This window comes from Homo sapiens, chromosome 4 (assembly GCF_000001405.40).
Source record: "Homo sapiens chromosome 4, GRCh38.p14 Primary Assembly".
Classification (NCBI taxonomy): domain Eukaryota; kingdom Metazoa; phylum Chordata; class Mammalia; order Primates; family Hominidae; genus Homo; species Homo sapiens.
Genome location: NC_000004.12, coordinates 69,026,020 through 69,045,247, shown reverse-complemented (window position 1 = coordinate 69,045,247; position 19,228 = coordinate 69,026,020). Strand labels below are relative to the sequence as shown.

The 19,228-nt window shown below is 35.5% G+C and overlaps 1 pseudogene; it reads right to left on the bottom strand.

The window, feature by feature from the left end:
* On the bottom strand, nt 182-17,460 carry UGT2B26P (UDP glucuronosyltransferase family 2 member B26, pseudogene; annotated as a pseudogene).

The following is a 19,228-nucleotide window of genomic DNA, read 5'->3' as shown; positions in this document are numbered from 1 at the left end:
GGTAGCAGTTGCTATATTTCTAATGCCACATACGTTCCACTGGGAAATGACTAAAGCTCTAAAACAATAAACATTTTTGCCATAAATTTTAGGAAAAAACTGACGCTGAAGCAGTATGCACCATAAAGGCCAAGCAGCACTACTCATCTCAAAATATCAAAAGGAAGAGAGAGATTTTTTATACAATTCAATTGTTTAATAGTTCCTTTAACAACAGTTAAAATATGAAAATCCTGCTCAAAATGAAGCCAAAGTAATCTGAGTATTTGCAAAATAGAACCGATACTGTCAGTGGACTTCTCAATATTCTTGTGTTTAAGTACAATATGTGAAATGTAGTTAAGCTCAGTAAAAATTTTTTCATGTAACTTGTGAATGAGGGCAATGAATTTCAATATAAGCTTGACAAATTTTAACATCAGCTCGTATGGCTTTATACTATTTAATATTTTTGCCAGTATTTTCCTTCTTGACAAAAAGTATTTCTAACCATTAAACAGGTATTAAATCTCTGAAAAACAAATTTTTTAGTTGCCAAGGTAAGTAATTTTTGAAGAGATATTCTGTCACAGAAAGAAAGGAAACTTGCATCATAATCTTTCTTGTTGGAATAAACTGAAGAAGTCCCATCTATCAGGTTTCCCAACTTCAAGCTTCAAATACAACAAATCTGTTTCCCTTCTTTCCAGTTCTAGCAAATTTCCAGACACAAAACATACAACATTTCATGATGGTAAATATCACAGTTGCCACACAGGACAGCAGGAACCCAATCACGTTGAAGGAGTGTTACTGGAAGCCTGTGAGGTCCTGGGCTGCAACCCGAGGTTGCTTGGCTCCTTTACAGCACATGACAAATTCAATCCAGAAGACTGCTCGACCTTTACTGGTTGATCATGTCAAATTCTTGATAACTTCATAGTGTTCTCTTTATATCTGAAGGATAAACATAGAGATACCAAAATTGAAAGTAAGTTTATTTTCTTGAGCATATCAAGTCCATATAAGGCTTTTATTTTTTATTTTATTTTATTTTATTGATTTATTGAAACAGAGTCTTACTCTGTTGCCCAGGCTGGAGTGCAGTGGTGCAGTCTCGGCTCACTGCAACCTCCCCTTCCCGTGGTGTCAAGAGATTTTTCCCGCCTCAGCCTCCCGAGTAGGTGGGATTACAGGCGCACACCACCATGCCTGGCTACTTTTTGGATTTTTAGTAGAGAGAGACAGGGTTTTTCTATGTTGGCCAGGCTGGTCTCAAACTCCTGACCTCAGGTGATCTACCCGCCTCGGCCTCCCAAAGTGCTGGGATTACAGGCGTTAGCCACTGCACCTGGCCCATGAAAGGTTTTTACAGTGCCAAATGATTCAGAGTAAATGACATATAATTGACATAGAATTTGTACAATTTAGTTTGAGTCATCATAGAAACTTCAACTATTAAATTGGAATTTTATCGTTGACAATTTTTTTAAAGTAAAATGGAAAGTCAGGAAAACTAATTTCTTTCAGGCAAAGCAAATATGAGCCATTTTATTATTATTTTTTAATTTGTTAATTTTTAGTTTTTGTGGGTACTTACTAGGTGTATATATTTATGGGTTGCATGAGATGTTTTGATACAGGTTGCAATGTGAAATAATCACATCATGGAGAATAAAGTATCCTTCCTTAAACATTTATCCTTTCTGTTATGAACAATACAATTACACCCTTTTAGTTCTCTAACAGGCATATGAGAACGTGCTCAACATCATGAGCAATTTTAAGTTCTTTAGGAAAGATAGTGAAAATACAATTTGAGAATTACCATTTTTAAGTTCCTAAAAGGAATTGTGCCATGGTCAGTGAAATGCCTCATAGCTAGTCACTCTGCTTCTACCCTACCATTTTTCTCCTACTGTTTCCTACCCAGTAGCCAGAATGAAATTTTTGAAATTAAAGGTCAGATTTTGCAACTCCCCTGATTAAGATTTTTGCCTGACCTATCATATTAAGAATAAAATCCAACTCTGTTATTTGGTCTACAGGACCCTGCAATGTCAAACACTGGCAAGCTCTTCTCCTAACACTTTTTCCATACACACTATGTCTTCTAGAGACGTTGGTCTATTTTTCTTTAAAGTACCAAAAGTGTTCTCATCATAGCATCTTTACACATTTTGCCCCCTCTCTCGCACTCTTGGAACATTCTTTCTTTCAACAACCCAAGGCATGCTTCTATCTCCTTTTGAGGTTTCCCTCTAAGTGTTACCTCTAAGTTAGGCTTTTCCTGGACACTCTATGATGGAACCTCTAGGATTTTCTCTATTGTTTTATGCTTATTTTGATATTTGATTCCTAGAATTTTAAATACATTATATATCATATAAAATAAACCTTTAAATATTGAAATGAAAAGATAAAAATACATACACTAAGTGAATAGGTCAAAAGTGTGAGATCATCTTGAACATTATCTTGAAGAGAAGATACCAATTTACCTTCTGCTCAGATCATGGTGTACGATATCACAACCTGCCTAGAATAACTCTCCTTTTCTGAACCATTTATTCACTACTTTTGTCTTCCAATTAAATATTAGCCTGACTTCAAATATCATACATTAGTTTCCTTTGTTTATGTAATTGAATTATATAACATATATTCATTAGAGCCTATTTTTTTTAAAATTTTTGTGTAGCTGTTGTTGGTTAATTCCATTGCTGTTTAGTATTTTGTTGATTGCTAAAACACAGATTATGTCATCATTTTATGACCAATAGACATTTGGGTTGCTAACAATTTTTGGATAATATTGATAATTCTGTCATAAACATTCTTGTATATGAAATGCAAGAGTTCTGGGCCCCCCCCCACAAGATGTGCGACAGCTGTGTGGCTCATCTCTTCAGCCCCCATGCACATTCAAGCCCCTTATGGGAGGGGGAGCATGCAGACAGGCAAGTGCAGGAGCCTGGGCGAGCGCCCCTGGGCTCTGGCCCCATGGCAGCATCCAGGGGTGGGTGTCTACAACTCCCAAAGCCCAAGTAGGTATGTGTTGGTGTACTCTTTTAACCTTGCAATGTATTGATGGCTTAAGTGTTAACCAGTTCAGTGCCCTGTTAGTACTTAAGTCCTTGTCCAGGATCCAGAAAGAATCAGGTCGCACATGGACTCGAAGGATGAATGCAGGGGTTTTTATTGAGTGGTGGAGGTGGCTCTTGGATGAATGGAGAGCTGGGATGGTGATGGAGTGGGAAGATGATCTTCCTCTGGAGTTTGGCCATCCAGCATCCAATTTCCTCTCCTCTCCAACTGTCCCCAGCTGAACTACTCTCTGCATTCAGAAATTCATTCTCTTCTCTCTGATGCACCATTCTGCCATTCTTCGGCTCTTCTTTTCATGCCGGGGGTTTGGGGTTCATATGGGTACAGAATAGGAGGGCATGGTGGGCCAAAAGGGAACTTCGGGCCTCAAAAACAGAATGTCTGTTCTCATTTAGTTTTCAGGCTTGAGGGTGGGAACTTTGCTGGGGAACCGACCTCTTCTACCCAGTATTTTCCTGTTTCCTGTCCATGTCATATGTAGCACTAGATTTACATATTTATACATATCTGTTGGGTATATAATTGAAAGTAGAATTGCTGAGATAAAAATGCATGCTTAATTATGATTAACTTCTTGACTTTTTTTTTCTTAATTTTTAATTTTTTTAAGTTTTATTTATTTATTATATTTATTTTATTTTTTTTGGAAACAGAATTTTGCCCTTGTTGGCCAGGCAGGAGTGCAATGGCATGATCTTGGCTCACTGCATCATCCAACTCCCAGGTTCAAGCGATGGCTCACGCCTGTAATCCCAGCACTTTGGGAGGCCAAGGCGGGTGGATGTTCTGAGGTCAGGAGTTCAAGACCAGCCTGACCAACATGGTGAATCCCTGTCTCTACTAAAAATACAAAATTGGCTGGACATGGTGGTGCATGCTTGTAATCCCAGCTACTGGGGAGGCTGAGGCAGGACTTTAAATTTTTTTGAAGTGTATTTTCTTAATTTCCAAAATTAAAGATATTTTAGTTACATTTTTTAAAATTTCCCTTACTTCTACTAAGGCTGGATCATATATTCTTTATGATATTGAATCTTTTCAAATTTACTGAGTCTTGATTTATGTCCCACCACATGTCACTTCAAATAATTATTAACAATTCAATATGCTCTAAGAAAATGTCTTTTAGTTGATATATATGATACATATATATATATGCATGCGTGTGTGTGTATCTTGTTACAAGTTTCCATTCGTTAACTGTGTTCTTCTAATGTTCTATGGCATTACTCATTATTTGCTCCTCTTTTTAAAGTTTGTTTAGATTTAATGGAAGTATCTGTGTATTTACATTTAAATAAACCACCTTATTTTATATTTCTTTTATATTGGTCCAACCTGTTTTATTGTACAACCTGTTTTAAAAGTATTCCTTTAGGTGATGGCTGTCTTACATGAAAACATTATTGATAGTAGTTATAAATGCTGAACTGATGGTAGCTGGAGTGGGTAGACATTTTGCATGTTGTATCCTTTGGAGTATAAATAAATCAATTATTAAAAATTTAACTTATTAAAATTAAAAATTTTGTGCTTCAAAAACCATCATCAAAAGTGTAAAATGTTAGCACACCCAGAATGAAACAAAATATTTGCAAATTATGTATCTAAGATTATATCCATGAAACATAAATAGTTCTTAAAACTCAATAATAAGACAAGTAGCAAAGTTTAAAAATGTTCCAAGGATTGGAATACGTGTTTTTCCAAAGCCATATATGGTCAGTAAGCACATATAACAATGGTCAACATTTTTAGCTGTAATGAAAATCCAATCCAAAACCACAATGAAAGATCATTTCACACCCACTAAGAAGGCTATAACAAAAAGATAATAACATGTGTTGGCAACAGTGTGGAGGAATTGGAACCCTCTTGCACTGTTGGTGGGAATGACAAATGGAACAAGGACTTTGGGAAACAGTTCAGCAGTTCTTCATAAACATACAGTTCCCACATGAGCCAGCAATTCCACTTATAGTATCAATCCCAAATAAAGAAAAACATGTTTATGCAAAAACACGTGTAGCAATGTTCCTAGTAGCCATAATTGGAAACAATCAAAAGGCCAATGAACTGATAAGTGAACATATAAAATATGGCATATCCATACTATAAAATATTATACTGCTGTAAAAAGAAATGAAGTATTAATACACACTACAACATGAACGAATCTAAAAACTATTTTAAAAAACCCAAAAAATTATGCTCAGTGAAATAAGTCGTTTACACAACACCCTAAATTATGTGATTGCAGATGATGGCTTCGTGACTCGTAAGCATTCTAAATATATTGGGATTTTAAACCTTAAATAGGTGGATTTTAAGTCGTGGAAATTATATCTAATTATCAAGCCTGTTACAATAATGAAAAGAATAAAAATGAATTTTTCAGCAGGAAAATAGTTATACTTTTAGATATTTTGGATGTTTAATTAAAACATTTTATCATATTTCTTTAAGTTTATCCTTCTTTTCTACTGTGGACTGATCATGAAATTTTTTTAAAACAGTCTTTTTTATATTATCTATATTACTTGAAAATTATTTTTGTGTAAAAAATTGTTTCACTATTGGATACCCATTAAATGTACGGAGTTCTAAAAACAGTTTTTAAACAACTGCTCAAAAATAAAAGAAGATTTCAGATTGGTTACATCATTTAAATTCTTTCAAAATTAGTCTCTTGAAAAAAGGATGAAACTCATACTATTGAGAAGATAAGGTATCTATAAATACCACCTAGTGAAAAGATATTGTTATACTCACAAAGGGTCATTAATTATTGGCTTCAAGCATTGAGCAAGTCTGTACTAGACATTGTGCGGAAGTCCAATCTAATAGCTGTGCCCTTGGCCTTCATGTGTGCAATGTTATGAGGTTGATCTGCAAGCAATGGAATGTGCACCATATGGATCCCATGGTAGATTGCCTTGTAGATGCCATTGGATCCACCATGAGTTATAAAAGCCCTGGTTTTTGGATGAACTAGGATTGGATAAATTTTAGCAATATTACTCATAGGAATAAAATGAGAAATGCACAACAAAACACGCAAGTGACAGTGTTTTCTAGCTAAAACATTGAACTAAATTAAAATTGTGTTTCAGACTTCAGAGGAAGGAGCACATACTTCTGCTGGAGATATAAGTGAAAGCTATATGTTTTGTGTGACTTCAGACTGAAAAAAAATTAAACAAGATTACCAGTTGGACTAAAGAAACAATGTGATCTAAATTAAATGCGAAAAAAAAAGAAAAAGAATCAAAGAAAAGAGAAGGACATGTAAGAATGTGTTCTCCTAAGTGCAGTCACGGAATGTGATATGTGAGATGTGCAAGGCAGCAGGCAGTGGGGTGGTGGTGGTGCTATGATTGAGGAAGGACAGGTCACACTTCGTCACGAAATGAGTCATCACTTTATGATTAAGATTAGGAATTTAATCCTACAGAAAATTCAGACTTCCTGGTGATAGCAGAAGAGCTGTTTTATTAGTGACATTTGAAATAACCCTGCATAAAAAGAAAGAACAAGTGTAAAGTTATAGAAATAGGAGACAAAGAGACAATCTATGACGTTAATAAAAAATTCTGCAAGAAATAATAACACTTGAAATAAAAATACCCTGATTCTGACCATAAAGACTGTGAATGTATATCATAAAATGCCAGCAATTATAGCTTATTATGTTCCCCGAAGGACTGGAAAATAAATACAAAGAAGTTTCATTTTATTTATAAGTTTTTCCATAACACATTTTGAATAAGCTTATTTCATGATTAATTATTCACACTCTAATGGGCTGGTACTAATATATTCAGTATTTCTACTCCAGAGTCATACCAAGAAGGTCATTCTGGGGTATCCACTTGTACACTCGAGTATTGAGTCCCAAGCCATGTGGTCTATTCCCATCAAATCTCCACAGAACCTGCTACAGTAAAAAAAATATCTTATTCCGTTAGTAGAACTCCAAAGTTAGAGAATGTTAGGACTCTAAAGAGATTAAGAATGAGATCAGGGATGTTAGGTAATAAAACTACTCAAAGACTGATGTAAATAGAATGCCAACATTTCATTTTCTTAACTTCTATAATTAGTTAAGCATATAAGGAAGTCAGGATTTTCCAAATAATAGCTTAGAAAAATGAGATTATAAATGAAAAGTTCAAGTATTTAAAAAATTGGTATGCTTTACAAAAGAAGACCTATGTGTGGCCAACCATCATATGCAAAAAGCTTACCATCACTGCTCATTAGAGAAATGCAAATCAAAATCACAATAGATACTATCTTGCACCGGTCATAATGGCTATTATAAACTTAAAAAGTAATAGATGCTAGCAAGATTGTGTAGAAAAAGGAATGCTTATACTCTGTTAGTGGGAGTTTATGTTGGTTCAACCATTGTGGAAGACAGTGTGGCACTTCCTCAAAAACCTAGAGGCTAAAATACAATTCAACTCACCAATCTCATTAGTGGGTATATACGCAAAGGATGATGAATGATTCTCTTATAAAGGCACATACACGTTTATTAATAGCAGTAGTATTCACAATAGTAAAGATATGGAATCAACCTTAATGCCCATCAATGATTGACTGAATAAAGAAAATGGAATGGGATATATATACACCATGGAATATTATGCAGCCATAAAAAAGCAAGATATGTATTTTACAGGACATAGATGGAGCTGGAGGCTGTTATCCTTAGCAAACTAGCATAGAAACAGAACCACATGTTCTCACTGTTAAGTGGAAGCTAAAAGATGAGAACACATGGAAACATAGCATGGAACAACATACTGGGGTGTATTGGAGGGTGGAGGGCAGGAGAAGAGAGAAGATCAGGTAAAATAACTAATGGGTACTGGTCTTAATGACTGGGCGATTAAACAATGTGTAAAACAAACTCCCATAATACAAATTTATCTATGTAACAAACCTGCACCTGTACCCCTGAACTTAAAATAAAATTTAAAAAATAAAATAAATTTAATTTTAAGCACACAAAAATTCTAAAAAATTGTATGTATGAAAAATATTTAAATAGTCATTATAATTCTAGTGAGAATAAGCAGTAACAATTTAGTAATGACCTATATGCTTATTTTATTTTATGTATTTTATACTAGTTTTCATCTTCCAAATTAAATATTAATTTATTCATTTTTGGTAATATAGGAAGTAATTCATGTATTTCTGCTTGTCTATAAGTTATTATGTTAGGGTTTGGTGTTCTTTGATTGACAAAAAAGCAAGTTGATAAAATAAGCTAATTGTAAGAAATAATGCTACAAAGGTAGCATGTATAACTTCTTTGAAATTATGAATTATCAAGCACTACTTCCAGGAGAAATTTCAAGGGACAATTTCTGAGACAAATTCAGAGTATTATCAGTATTGCTAATTTTTGTTGTTTTTTTTCAGCATTGAAATGAGGAACCTGCTGGTATCATAAATAAAGATATAGCTGTTGAACAAATTCAAAATCATATTTTTCTGAATTTGGTCAACAGATTGTTAACACTTAGACAATGTGCTACAAAGCTTTGACAACAGTGATTAATATGTTCTACTATAGCCAAGACATTCTTATGTTTAAGTTACTAATTTTGGAACTCCCAAGCAATCCTCATAAACTGATAAATAATTTACAGTGTTTTACTTGTTATATCAGTATTAAAATAACTGGTTTTTCAGCAAAAAACTTTAGTGGAGGTCATTGCAAGAAGACTATATCAGATAGGGAGCTAAAAAGTAATTGACAAATACACAAAAGTCACCGTTTTATTCTATACAGAAGAAAATATGTTCCTACTATGTATTATAGAGGGAGCATCTGAACCTATTCCCCACCTGGCTTCCTTCTGTTTGACTCCTTCCTATATTTTTTTCTGCTGCCTCCATTGGGAAGAATTGTTAATCTGATAGTTAGTGCTGAGTCCTTGTGGGGCCACATTTTATACAGCACAGGATCCACCTTCAGGTCAGGATCCATTTCCATCCTTTTTCTTTCATCTTCCTGTTTTAGACATTGGCTGGGCCCAGTCCAGCAAGGGAGGCTGCTTTTTCTCTTTTTCTAAATCTACCTGGCTAGGTGAGAACTTGGACTAAGTCTGTCAGCCTAGGCCATTCTTTCTCTGAATAGTACCCTGAACATCACTCAGATGGGCCTATTCCAAAATGTGGAGGAACTACATGAGGCCAGATTACATGGCAAGCCTAAACTGCATGATGCATGTTAGACATTTTGAAATACCTGTTATTGTTATTGTGCTAGTGAAGTCACCCATTAAAATGTAACTTCTTCTGATAACATCTATAGTGTGTATAATTTCCTCAGGAATCCTTAAACATAAGGATCAGATGACAGGGAAATAATTTGGTGATATCTCTTATGTGACCTCAATATCATGATAATATCAAAACTTTACCTACGCCTCTTAATATATTTCTTCCTGTTCACAATATTAGTACCAAATTTATTATCCATGATTATACCCTTTGTATTACTTTAGCATCTTTCATGTACATTTCTCATTTTGAACTAATATCTGATAATTAGTGCTTTCCCAAGAGCTACATTTCCAGGAAGGAAATTTCTATAATTGGATTATTTATAGACTTTAACAGCCTCTTTTGGTAGTTTTCCATACCGTAAGGAACTTTATCTATCCTTCTGTGGATCTTGGCAAGGGCTGATGCAATTACATTGGCCCTTTCTTCAGACATGTTGCTGATCATTGACCCCAGAGAAAACACCACAACACCATTTTCTCCAGAGCTCTGGATAAATTCTTCCATTTCCTGTGAAAAAAGAATTTGTTCCATCACAAAAGAGTAACAGCACAGCAGGCACTACTGAAAGAATTGGTACAAATTACTAAAGAGAGAAAATCAAGTATTATCAGGAATTATTGGAGGAAATTATGTCTTTTAACTGACCCAATCATTCAGTTTCTTATCAAGAAGATGTATAATATGAGATAGGTAGCCTCTACTAAGTGTGTTTATGTAAATATGTGTGTGTGCATGTTTGTGTGTGTGTGTAAGAGAGAAATGAAATGGAGCTATTACATAGTAGTCAGGGAGATAATGTTAGAAAACACTATACCCAGACTCTTCACTTATAATTTTACAGTTACTAATATAGGTTCTTGGAAAGTGGCACTACTTGGCTTTAATTCTATATTGTCATTCTACTAAATCACATATCTTTATTTCAGGCAGGTTTTCTTATTGGGGGAAACAGCCCCCAATATTTCAATGTAGATTCTTTTCTATTTTCCCTAAGTATCAGCCAGTCTGAGAAATAAAGGGAAAGAGTACAAAAGAGAGAAATTTTAAAGCTGGGTGTCCGGGGGAGACATCATATGTTGGCAGGTTCCGTGATGCTCCCTGAGCCACAAAACCAGCAAGTTTTTATTAGTGATTTTCAAAGGGGAAGGAGTGTACGAATAGGGTGTGGGTCACAGAGATCACACGCTTCAAAGGCAATAAAATATCACAAGACAAATGGGCAGGGCAAGGTCACAAGGCCAGGGTGAAAATAGAATTCCTGATGAAGTTTCATGTCCCACTGGGCACACATTGTCATTGATGACACATTATCAGGAGACAGGGTTTGAGAGCAGACAACCAGTCTGACTAAAATTTACTAGGCAGGAATTTCCTAATCCTAATAAGCCTGGGGGCACTACAGGAGACCAGGGCTTATTTCATCCCTTATCTACAACCATATAAGACAGACACTCCCAGAGCAGACATTTTAGCCCCGCCCCCCCCAATGCATTCTTTTCCCAGTGCTGTTAATTATATTCCTTACTAGGGAAAGAATTCAGTGATATTTCTCTTACCCGTTTTTGGTAATAAGGGAAACATGCTCTGTCCTGCCTGGCTCCCAGGCAGTCAGACCTAATGTTTATCTCCCTTGTTCCCTGAACATTGCTGTTATCCTGTTCTTTTTTCAAGGTGCCCAGATTTCATATTTTTCTAACACACATGCTTTACAAACAATTTGTGCAGTTAATGCAATCATCACAGGGTCCTGAGGCGACATACATCCTCAGCTTATGAAGATACTGGTATTAAGAGATTAAAGCCAGGTATAGGAAATTATAAGAGTATTGATTGGGGAAGTGATAAATGTGCATGAAATCTTCACAATTTATGTTCTTCTGCCATGGCTTCAGCTGGACCCTCTGTTCGGGGTCCCTCACTTCCTGCAACATTTTCTATAGAATTGTTTTAGTTTGAAGCTATCAATGGTTTTCTTCCCTAACTATAAACACTGAGGAAACGTTACTCACAGTTGGGGTGATTTTTTGTCTACATTTATCTTCCTCTGTAATCCTTTACACTTCACTAAAATTTTGTCAGAGTTTCCCAGTTTTTTTTCAAAAAAGAAAAAAAGTAACAGTAAAAAGTGGTGGTTAAGAATCACTGACATTCTGGAGTCTGGTTGTGGTTTGGAATTTCTATGAATTAGTACTGAGAGTCTCATTTATAATACTGAATTGTACAGTATATAGTTAGATAGTTGAATGATCATATTTTTCAGGTGATTCTTTAGGTGGAATAACTTTTCCCTGAAATCACACTGTTAAATTGATGTTCTATTTATAACTGCCTGTGAGGAACTCTCATTGTCACTTTGTTGTGTCTCAGAGGCAGCAGCACTTGCACCATAATGGGAGAGGCCACCAGCGCTTTCCACAGGGGAGATCTGGTCACCCTCATGAGTAGCTCACTCACACTACACTTCTTGGTGAAGATGTACTTGGCTAAAATTGATTGATATTTACTCTGATTTGCTTTCTCCAATCTATGCCAATATTTAAATTTAAAAACTTTCAGTTTTAATCATTAGGGTAAAACTTTTTTGAACTGCTGTTTATAAAACAAAGAAAAAAATCCAAATATTGACTGTGAAGACCATATATTGCTGTATTTTTTTTCAAATATGATTTTTAATCTTAAGACATCAATGTTAATGTGAGAGTCATTGTACTACTATTCCAGATAATACATGGGGCATCTAGACATTTTGTGTGATTGCAGTTACCTGTTGCCACATTTACTGTAACTCGTGTTCAGGGTTTACTCTCACTGGCTTGATGCCCAGAGCCTTCTTCATCCACCCAGTGTTGAAGTAATCTAACTTCTGTTTACTGATTCATCACTGATGTGGACTGGTTGTTTCAGACTCTGTGACAACTTCATAAAAATAATACAAAATCACTGTAAGTAATTTAACAAAAGTATGAAAAGTTTCATAAAGAAAAGGAAATATTTCTAAAATTTCTATCTAGAGATATTACCAATGTAAAATATGTATATTCTCATCATGGCTTTTATTCTATTTACACATGTACACTCATGACATTTATTTAGAAAGTTTTAACCTTATTGTATATACATTTTCCTCTTACAAAAAATTTGTCATCTTGTTATATTTATCATTTTCTACTACACTTTACTCGCATTATGGCTCACAGTGTAATTGAATATTTGATTGATAAAATTATTGTAAGGCTATAGTATGCATATAGTATAAGTTTTTAGTCATTCCTTCATTTAAGATGTTGGATTATTTCCAATGTGAATTTTATGAATATTTTCCATAAATATTAAATGTGCACATCTTAATTCATTTTTTTCTCAGTATGATTACATGAAACTATATTATTAAACCAATGATTATGTGCATTTTTAAATCACTAGAAATATTTTGCCAAATGTCTTTTTCTCTTAAAATATAGACATATATTATGAGAATCTAATATTTAATTTAAAAGAAAACAACTTGGGTTAACAATTATTCTACATAATAAACAATTAGAGAACCAATTTTACAACCATTGACTTGCATTCAAATCTTTCTGCAAGTTAATAACAACAGCTACTATTAGTAATTATCACTATTATACTACTAGTCATCCTTTTTCTTATCCTTCTACACCTCCTATTCTCTTCCCCCTCCTAGTGGCACTATCACTTTCCCTTAATATGAATAGGGAAATCTTTCAATAGTAGGGTAGGGTGCCATAGAATTTTTATTAGTCTTACCTCAGCTTTTGTCTCTTTAGAAAGTCATAAAGCACATACAATTCGCATTCAACATAGATATTGTATTTTACCCATGGAATAAATTCTCAGTTTTATGTAGACAAAAATCTTAAGAGATTACTTAATAATGTATTAAAGAATGCTTACTTTCTACCTATGTCTTAAAAGTATGATACTAATTTAAAATGCATGAGGTTCTTGTGTTCCTTTACAAAGAACATCATCTTCTAAGTAGACAGAATTCTTTAATTATGGTAAACTAAGTTTACTACTATTCAGATACAAGTGATAGAAATTATTTGGCCTTTATAATACGTGCATCATTCATTTTCTCCATGCTTCTCTGTAGGGAGCTTTGGCGTCTAGACACAAGTTCAACCAGGATGCTGTACTAAGTTGCTTGTCATAAGGCTGAAAACACCTGCTCTAATAGGGCATGTTTCTGTTCTAAGATGTAAACGTCAGATATCTCAGTGTAGAATGAGTTACATCCTTGAGTGAAATCAAGTGAACACTGGGTTTGGCTGCAAATATTATTAAGGATACACATTTATATTGTTGAGTAACTATTTTCTTTTTAAGATAGAATACTTAAAATCCTCATAACTTACAGTAGAATTTTAGAATGTCAACTTACGCATCTTACTAGCAAAACTAGTATGCCTACTTTTATTCAAGTCCACAATATATCTGTCCTCCACGACTTTTCAAGAGAACATAATCTTGATGTGCTGAACAATCTGGTTCTATTAAATGAAGAATGGTATCTCAAGTGACTTGCACATGTTAAGTAATTAATAGTGTTAGTAATCATAACAAAATAACCATAATTGCAAAATTAATATTTCTGAATCACTGACTATATAACAGAGAGATTTTAAGTGTTTTGTGTGTATTAACATTTTTTCCACAAAACACAATATGAAGTGGGTACTATTACTGCAAATGTAGGCATAATTACTTCTAGTCCAACATTCTAATCCACTTTTCCATCATCTGCTACCAGATTCCATGCAAAATTTCCCAAATGGTCTGCTCTTTCTTTGTTTCTTTTTTTTTAAATAACCTTATCATATATCTTCATTTCCTAACTCTTTTTAGTAGTCCCCAAAGGTGCTTAATAAATATTTTAACTCCTAATAAGTATCAGGCTCTAACTTGTCTCTCAGCATCATCTGATTCTCACTCAGCCTGTCCCTGCAAACTAAACTTGGAGTCTTGAGAACTTTCCTGAACACTTTACCTTTTTTTCTTTTTGTGTTTTCTGCCCTCCTCATTATTTCACCAATTTCTGCACATTGTTCAGCTGTCAGCTTCATTATCAGTGCGTCCAGGATACTTTCTATTATCTCCACTGATGCTATCTTGGCATGAGATAATAGCTTTTGCACAATTTTTATTACTTATACATATTCTATCTTTTGAAATAGAATGTAATGTGTGTGGGGACAGAAACTGTGTCTATTTTTTTTCCTCTTGCCTGTGGTTTTTGTTAAACTTTTATAAACATTCTCTTAATGAATGACCAATACCTTCTTACGTGTTGCATAATCAAGGCTTTAATTTAACCAACCCTATTTTCAAAGTCTCCTTAGTATCCCTCTGTATCTATAATAATGATGAAACTCACGTACTTGTGATGGTATCGATAAATCAACAAGTACAAGAGTTCCTAATTGCTATCTGCTTTACCCCACCCACTTCCCATCTTTCTTTCTAAGTCAGACACTCTGCAGGAAGACGGTAGAGTCATTCCTACTAAAAATTCAAAGCTAACAAAACCGAATCAACAAAATTATCTTTACCTTAGGTAGGGGTTTGGTAGATTTGCAGTGGAGTCCTCCAACAAATTCAACATTTGGTAAGAGTGGATGAGGAAATTGAAAATTCCAGGAGTTTTGAATAAGCCATATGTATGTCAGCTTTCTCCATTGTCTCAGATAAGGTAGTGGGTCTTCCTGAGAGGAAAAATGAAAGAAAAAGTGGATTACACAAGATAATTACATTAGGTAATTTTCTGAAAGGGATTAGAATAATGTAGGCAAAAATGTAGACCAAGTGTCTGTACTTTGAAATACATGAACATATATTCAAATATAAACATAATTTATTTTTTATGTATTATATATTTTGCCCTTGTGTATTTATAAGAAAAGCAAACTGATAAGAGAAGTTTGAGGGTAAACTACATCGCTAATGTCACATCGGAATACTCATAATCACAAACAATTATTAAAATAATCTATAGAGAAGTAAACATCCATTTCTTTACCCTTTAAAACTTCAATAGTAGCATATAAACATTTAAAAAACTCTTTGAGCTCCATGATCAACTAATTCTGCCTAACCCATAAAAATAATTTTCTGAGAAATAGTCTAGTTTCCGCAGTTCATTAAGCTAATCTTTTTATCTTTGGTTATTCAAGTGAACTGTGGGCTATTTTGAGAGTGTGGCTGAAATCCTTGTACCAACTACTGCTTTTGATTTATGCTAAGGTATTAACCATATTAGCTTTTAAGTAAATATATTTGAAAATTACAGCTAGAAAATTTTGAGAAATTATTCAAATAGAGATTTGTATCCAACCTTAATTTGGCTTATATTTTGTAATAAACATAGTATTTTTTTAAAAAAACTATATAGATAGAAAAATGTTCAGACTTCAATAAGATGATTAGTCTTAAAATGAATAATTTCCAATCTTTTAGTGAAGGAATGTGGAGACATTAGAAACTACAAATTGCCCTTATTGGTTTTTGCATTTGAGACAGAAGCACTATTTCTCTCAACTGTGAAGGAAACCTTCTGGTAACATGGGGACATATTTTAATTTCAGAATAAAGAAACTGCGGTGTACAAGGAAAAACAATTTCTGCAATGTTACATAGATAGTTGTGGTAGAAAATTGTGTAACTACTCAATATACATGTATGCATTCAGTAAGATGTTTGTGGACGGGTCCGACTTTTTTAAGATAAAAATATGTATAGTAAAACAGATGTGTGATTGTTTAAAGAAATATTAGGTGCACTAATTTACAGGTTTATGACTTCCTAGAATGTTCTGTATTAGCAATGGCCACAGGGTTTTAACTGAACTTATAATTTAAGCTTTTCTATAATATTTGTGCAATTGATAGATCATCTTGTGTTTTCATTTCATAAATTCACTTACGAAATACTCCACTACCAGCTGGGCGTGGTGGCTCATGCCTGTAATCCCAGCACTTTGAGAGGCTGAGGCAGGTGTATCACTTGAGGTCAGGAGTTTGAGACCAGCCTGGCCAACATGGTGAAGCCCCATCTCTACTAAAAATACAAAAAATTAACCAAGTGTGCTGACACATGCCTGTAATCCCAGCAGTGAGTTTAGATTGCACCACTGCACTCCAGCCTGGAAGACAAAGAAAGTCTCCACCAAAAAAAAAAAAAAAAAAAAAGGACCCTGACTTTATTGCTTTATAGAAGCTCAGCTTCAAAGGCACAGGAAAGTTAGATCTCCATATTACCAACTGAAAAAATTACTTAGGTAAAACTTCACTGGAAAACTGATCCCACTTCTTCATATTAAATATTTGGTTGGAACCAAAATTGAAAATAAACCAGATAGATCATATATTTTTACCCTCTCTATGAAAGTCATTTGGTCACTTAATTCTGACATAACAACAGGTATGTAGGAAGGCAGAAACAGAAATCCTACATTGTGCTTTTCAAGTGTGTAGCCAGCAGAGAAGTGGAGACTGTACAGGAAGGGTATGTTAAATAGCTCAGCCAGCAGCTCACCACAGGGAATAATAGCATCTGCAAGAACAACATCAAATTTTAACTTTTGTAGTTTTTTCATAAGTTTATTATTTTAAACTACATCCTTACAGAACTTTCTAAGTATGTCATTAAATGTCCACATGATTTCTTGTACTTGTGAAAAATATGACCAAAACGTGCCTTTTGGAAGGGCTGCCCATCTCTTGACTAGTTGCATGATGATGTCCTCCAACTCAGTTTTAGTTAAAGATGCAGGATAAACTTAAGTTTAAGAGTAGGTAGGCTGTTGGGATCAAACAAATGGAAGCTGAAAATGCCAGTACAGGCACTTCATGCGCCCTCTGGACAAGCTCATCCAGGATTGTCTTTACATTCATCCAATGGCTGAATGCTGTGGGCCACACCAGCACCTTTCCACAACTTCCAGAGCTAATGTAACAGCTCAGCTGTATCAGCAGCAAAATTGAAGTCCATTTCATACACATCCTGGTGCAATGCAATGCTTTTTTCCATTTGCTGTTTCTTTCTGTCATTTATTATGGTTATATCCATGGATAAATCAATCACGAAGTTCAAATGTAACTTTTACACTTCAAAGGAAATATATTATCATTAGATTAACAGTCTGAGCATGTAGATGGCAAGGAGATAAATGAAGGTAGATGATCTATTTACACAAGTGTGTTTAATGTCCCTTTATGTTTATAAGTGCTATCTTTGAGCTAATATCAATGTTCTTGTATGGACACATCACTTGTCTTATGTAATTTATTTTAGAAAAGTTTCCAGAAACATAGTCATGAGAGGTCCATGTTTGTGCATTTTGTTTGACACAGAACTAAAGATAAAATAACAAAACATGGTTCAAATAATTTTTTGTATATTTTGTTTACATATAATTTATATACCACACAGCACCTTCAACTGAGGCATGGTGTGCAGTGCAGGCTGCCATTTTTGCTGTTTGTGCAAGTTAGCTGTCCTGCCCTTCGAGCTTTGGAGAGTCCAAATGTACATTTAGTGGAAGGAATTCCCCAGTTGCTGCACATCTGCTCTATAAAAACATGGCCAGACTGCTTCTTTAAGCAGGTACCAGATCCTGTTCCTCCTCACTGGGTGGGACTTCCCAACAGGGGACTCCAACCACTCCCACCAGTGTTCTTGTGTCTACAGAGATTTGAAAACTCCCTGTGACAGAGCTCCCAGAGAGAGTTATGGGCCGGCATCTTTGCTGTTTGAGTGACTTATCAATTCCAGTCTGTAAGCTTTGAAGAACCCATTCTGACTGGGGTGAAAATGATACACCAGAACAGCACAGCAGCCATATAAAAATGGGGCCAGACTGCTTTTTTAATTGAGTTCCTGACCCTCGTCCTCATTACTGGGTGGAGACTCCCAACGGGGATTTTTGGCTACCATCACTGGTATTCACAAGCTGACAGAGGTTCCAGGCATCCCTGGTAAAGAGACCCAAGGGGGCAGGGCAGGCTGACATCTTTGCTGTTTGGGCAACTTAGCCATTCCAGCCTTCTAGCTTTGGAGTGTCTGAGGCAACCGAGGGCTGAAGTGTACCCCCAGCAAAGCACAGCTGCTTTATGAAAATGTGGCTAGACTACCTTAAGCAGGTCCCTGATACCATTCCTTCTGACTAGGGGTCAGATCTCCCAAGTGGGGTCTCCAGCCACCTCTTAGAGGTATGTTTGTGGCAGAAACAGGTCCATATCTCCCTGGGATGGAGCTACCAGAGAAAAGGGCAGGCTGCCGTCTTTCCTGTTTCTCAGCCTTCACTGGTGATACCTCCAGGTACTAAAAAATCTGAGGTGAATAGTGACTGGAGTGGCCCCTAGCATAACACAGCAGCCCTACAGAAAAATGATCAGAGTGTAATGTGGTTGCCTGCTCCTGTATGTCCTCATCATGCAGATCTTCCAGGCCTGGGTCTCTAGCCAACACCTGCCCAATCTATCCAGCTAGTAGCAAATTGGCAACTCCTTGGAGAGAGCCACTGGGGCAACAGAAAGCCTCTCAGCCACTGCATCTGCAGTGAAACTTTCCTTGACTCCCTTGGACAAACAAAGGAGCAAAGACACTGAGCCATTGCTGGCTTGCATCTCTCTGAGATGAAGCCACAGGAACAAACAAAGTAGCAAAGCAGCAAGCCAACTGATGTGGATCCCAGAGCAGTGGGTGCAGGAGAATCTGTAGCAGTGTGGCCATCTCTGTAAGTTCAACTTTCATGAATAAGAGACCCTAGCCCTTGGGTAACAGTCAGACCTGATCCCTGCATGGTGATCCT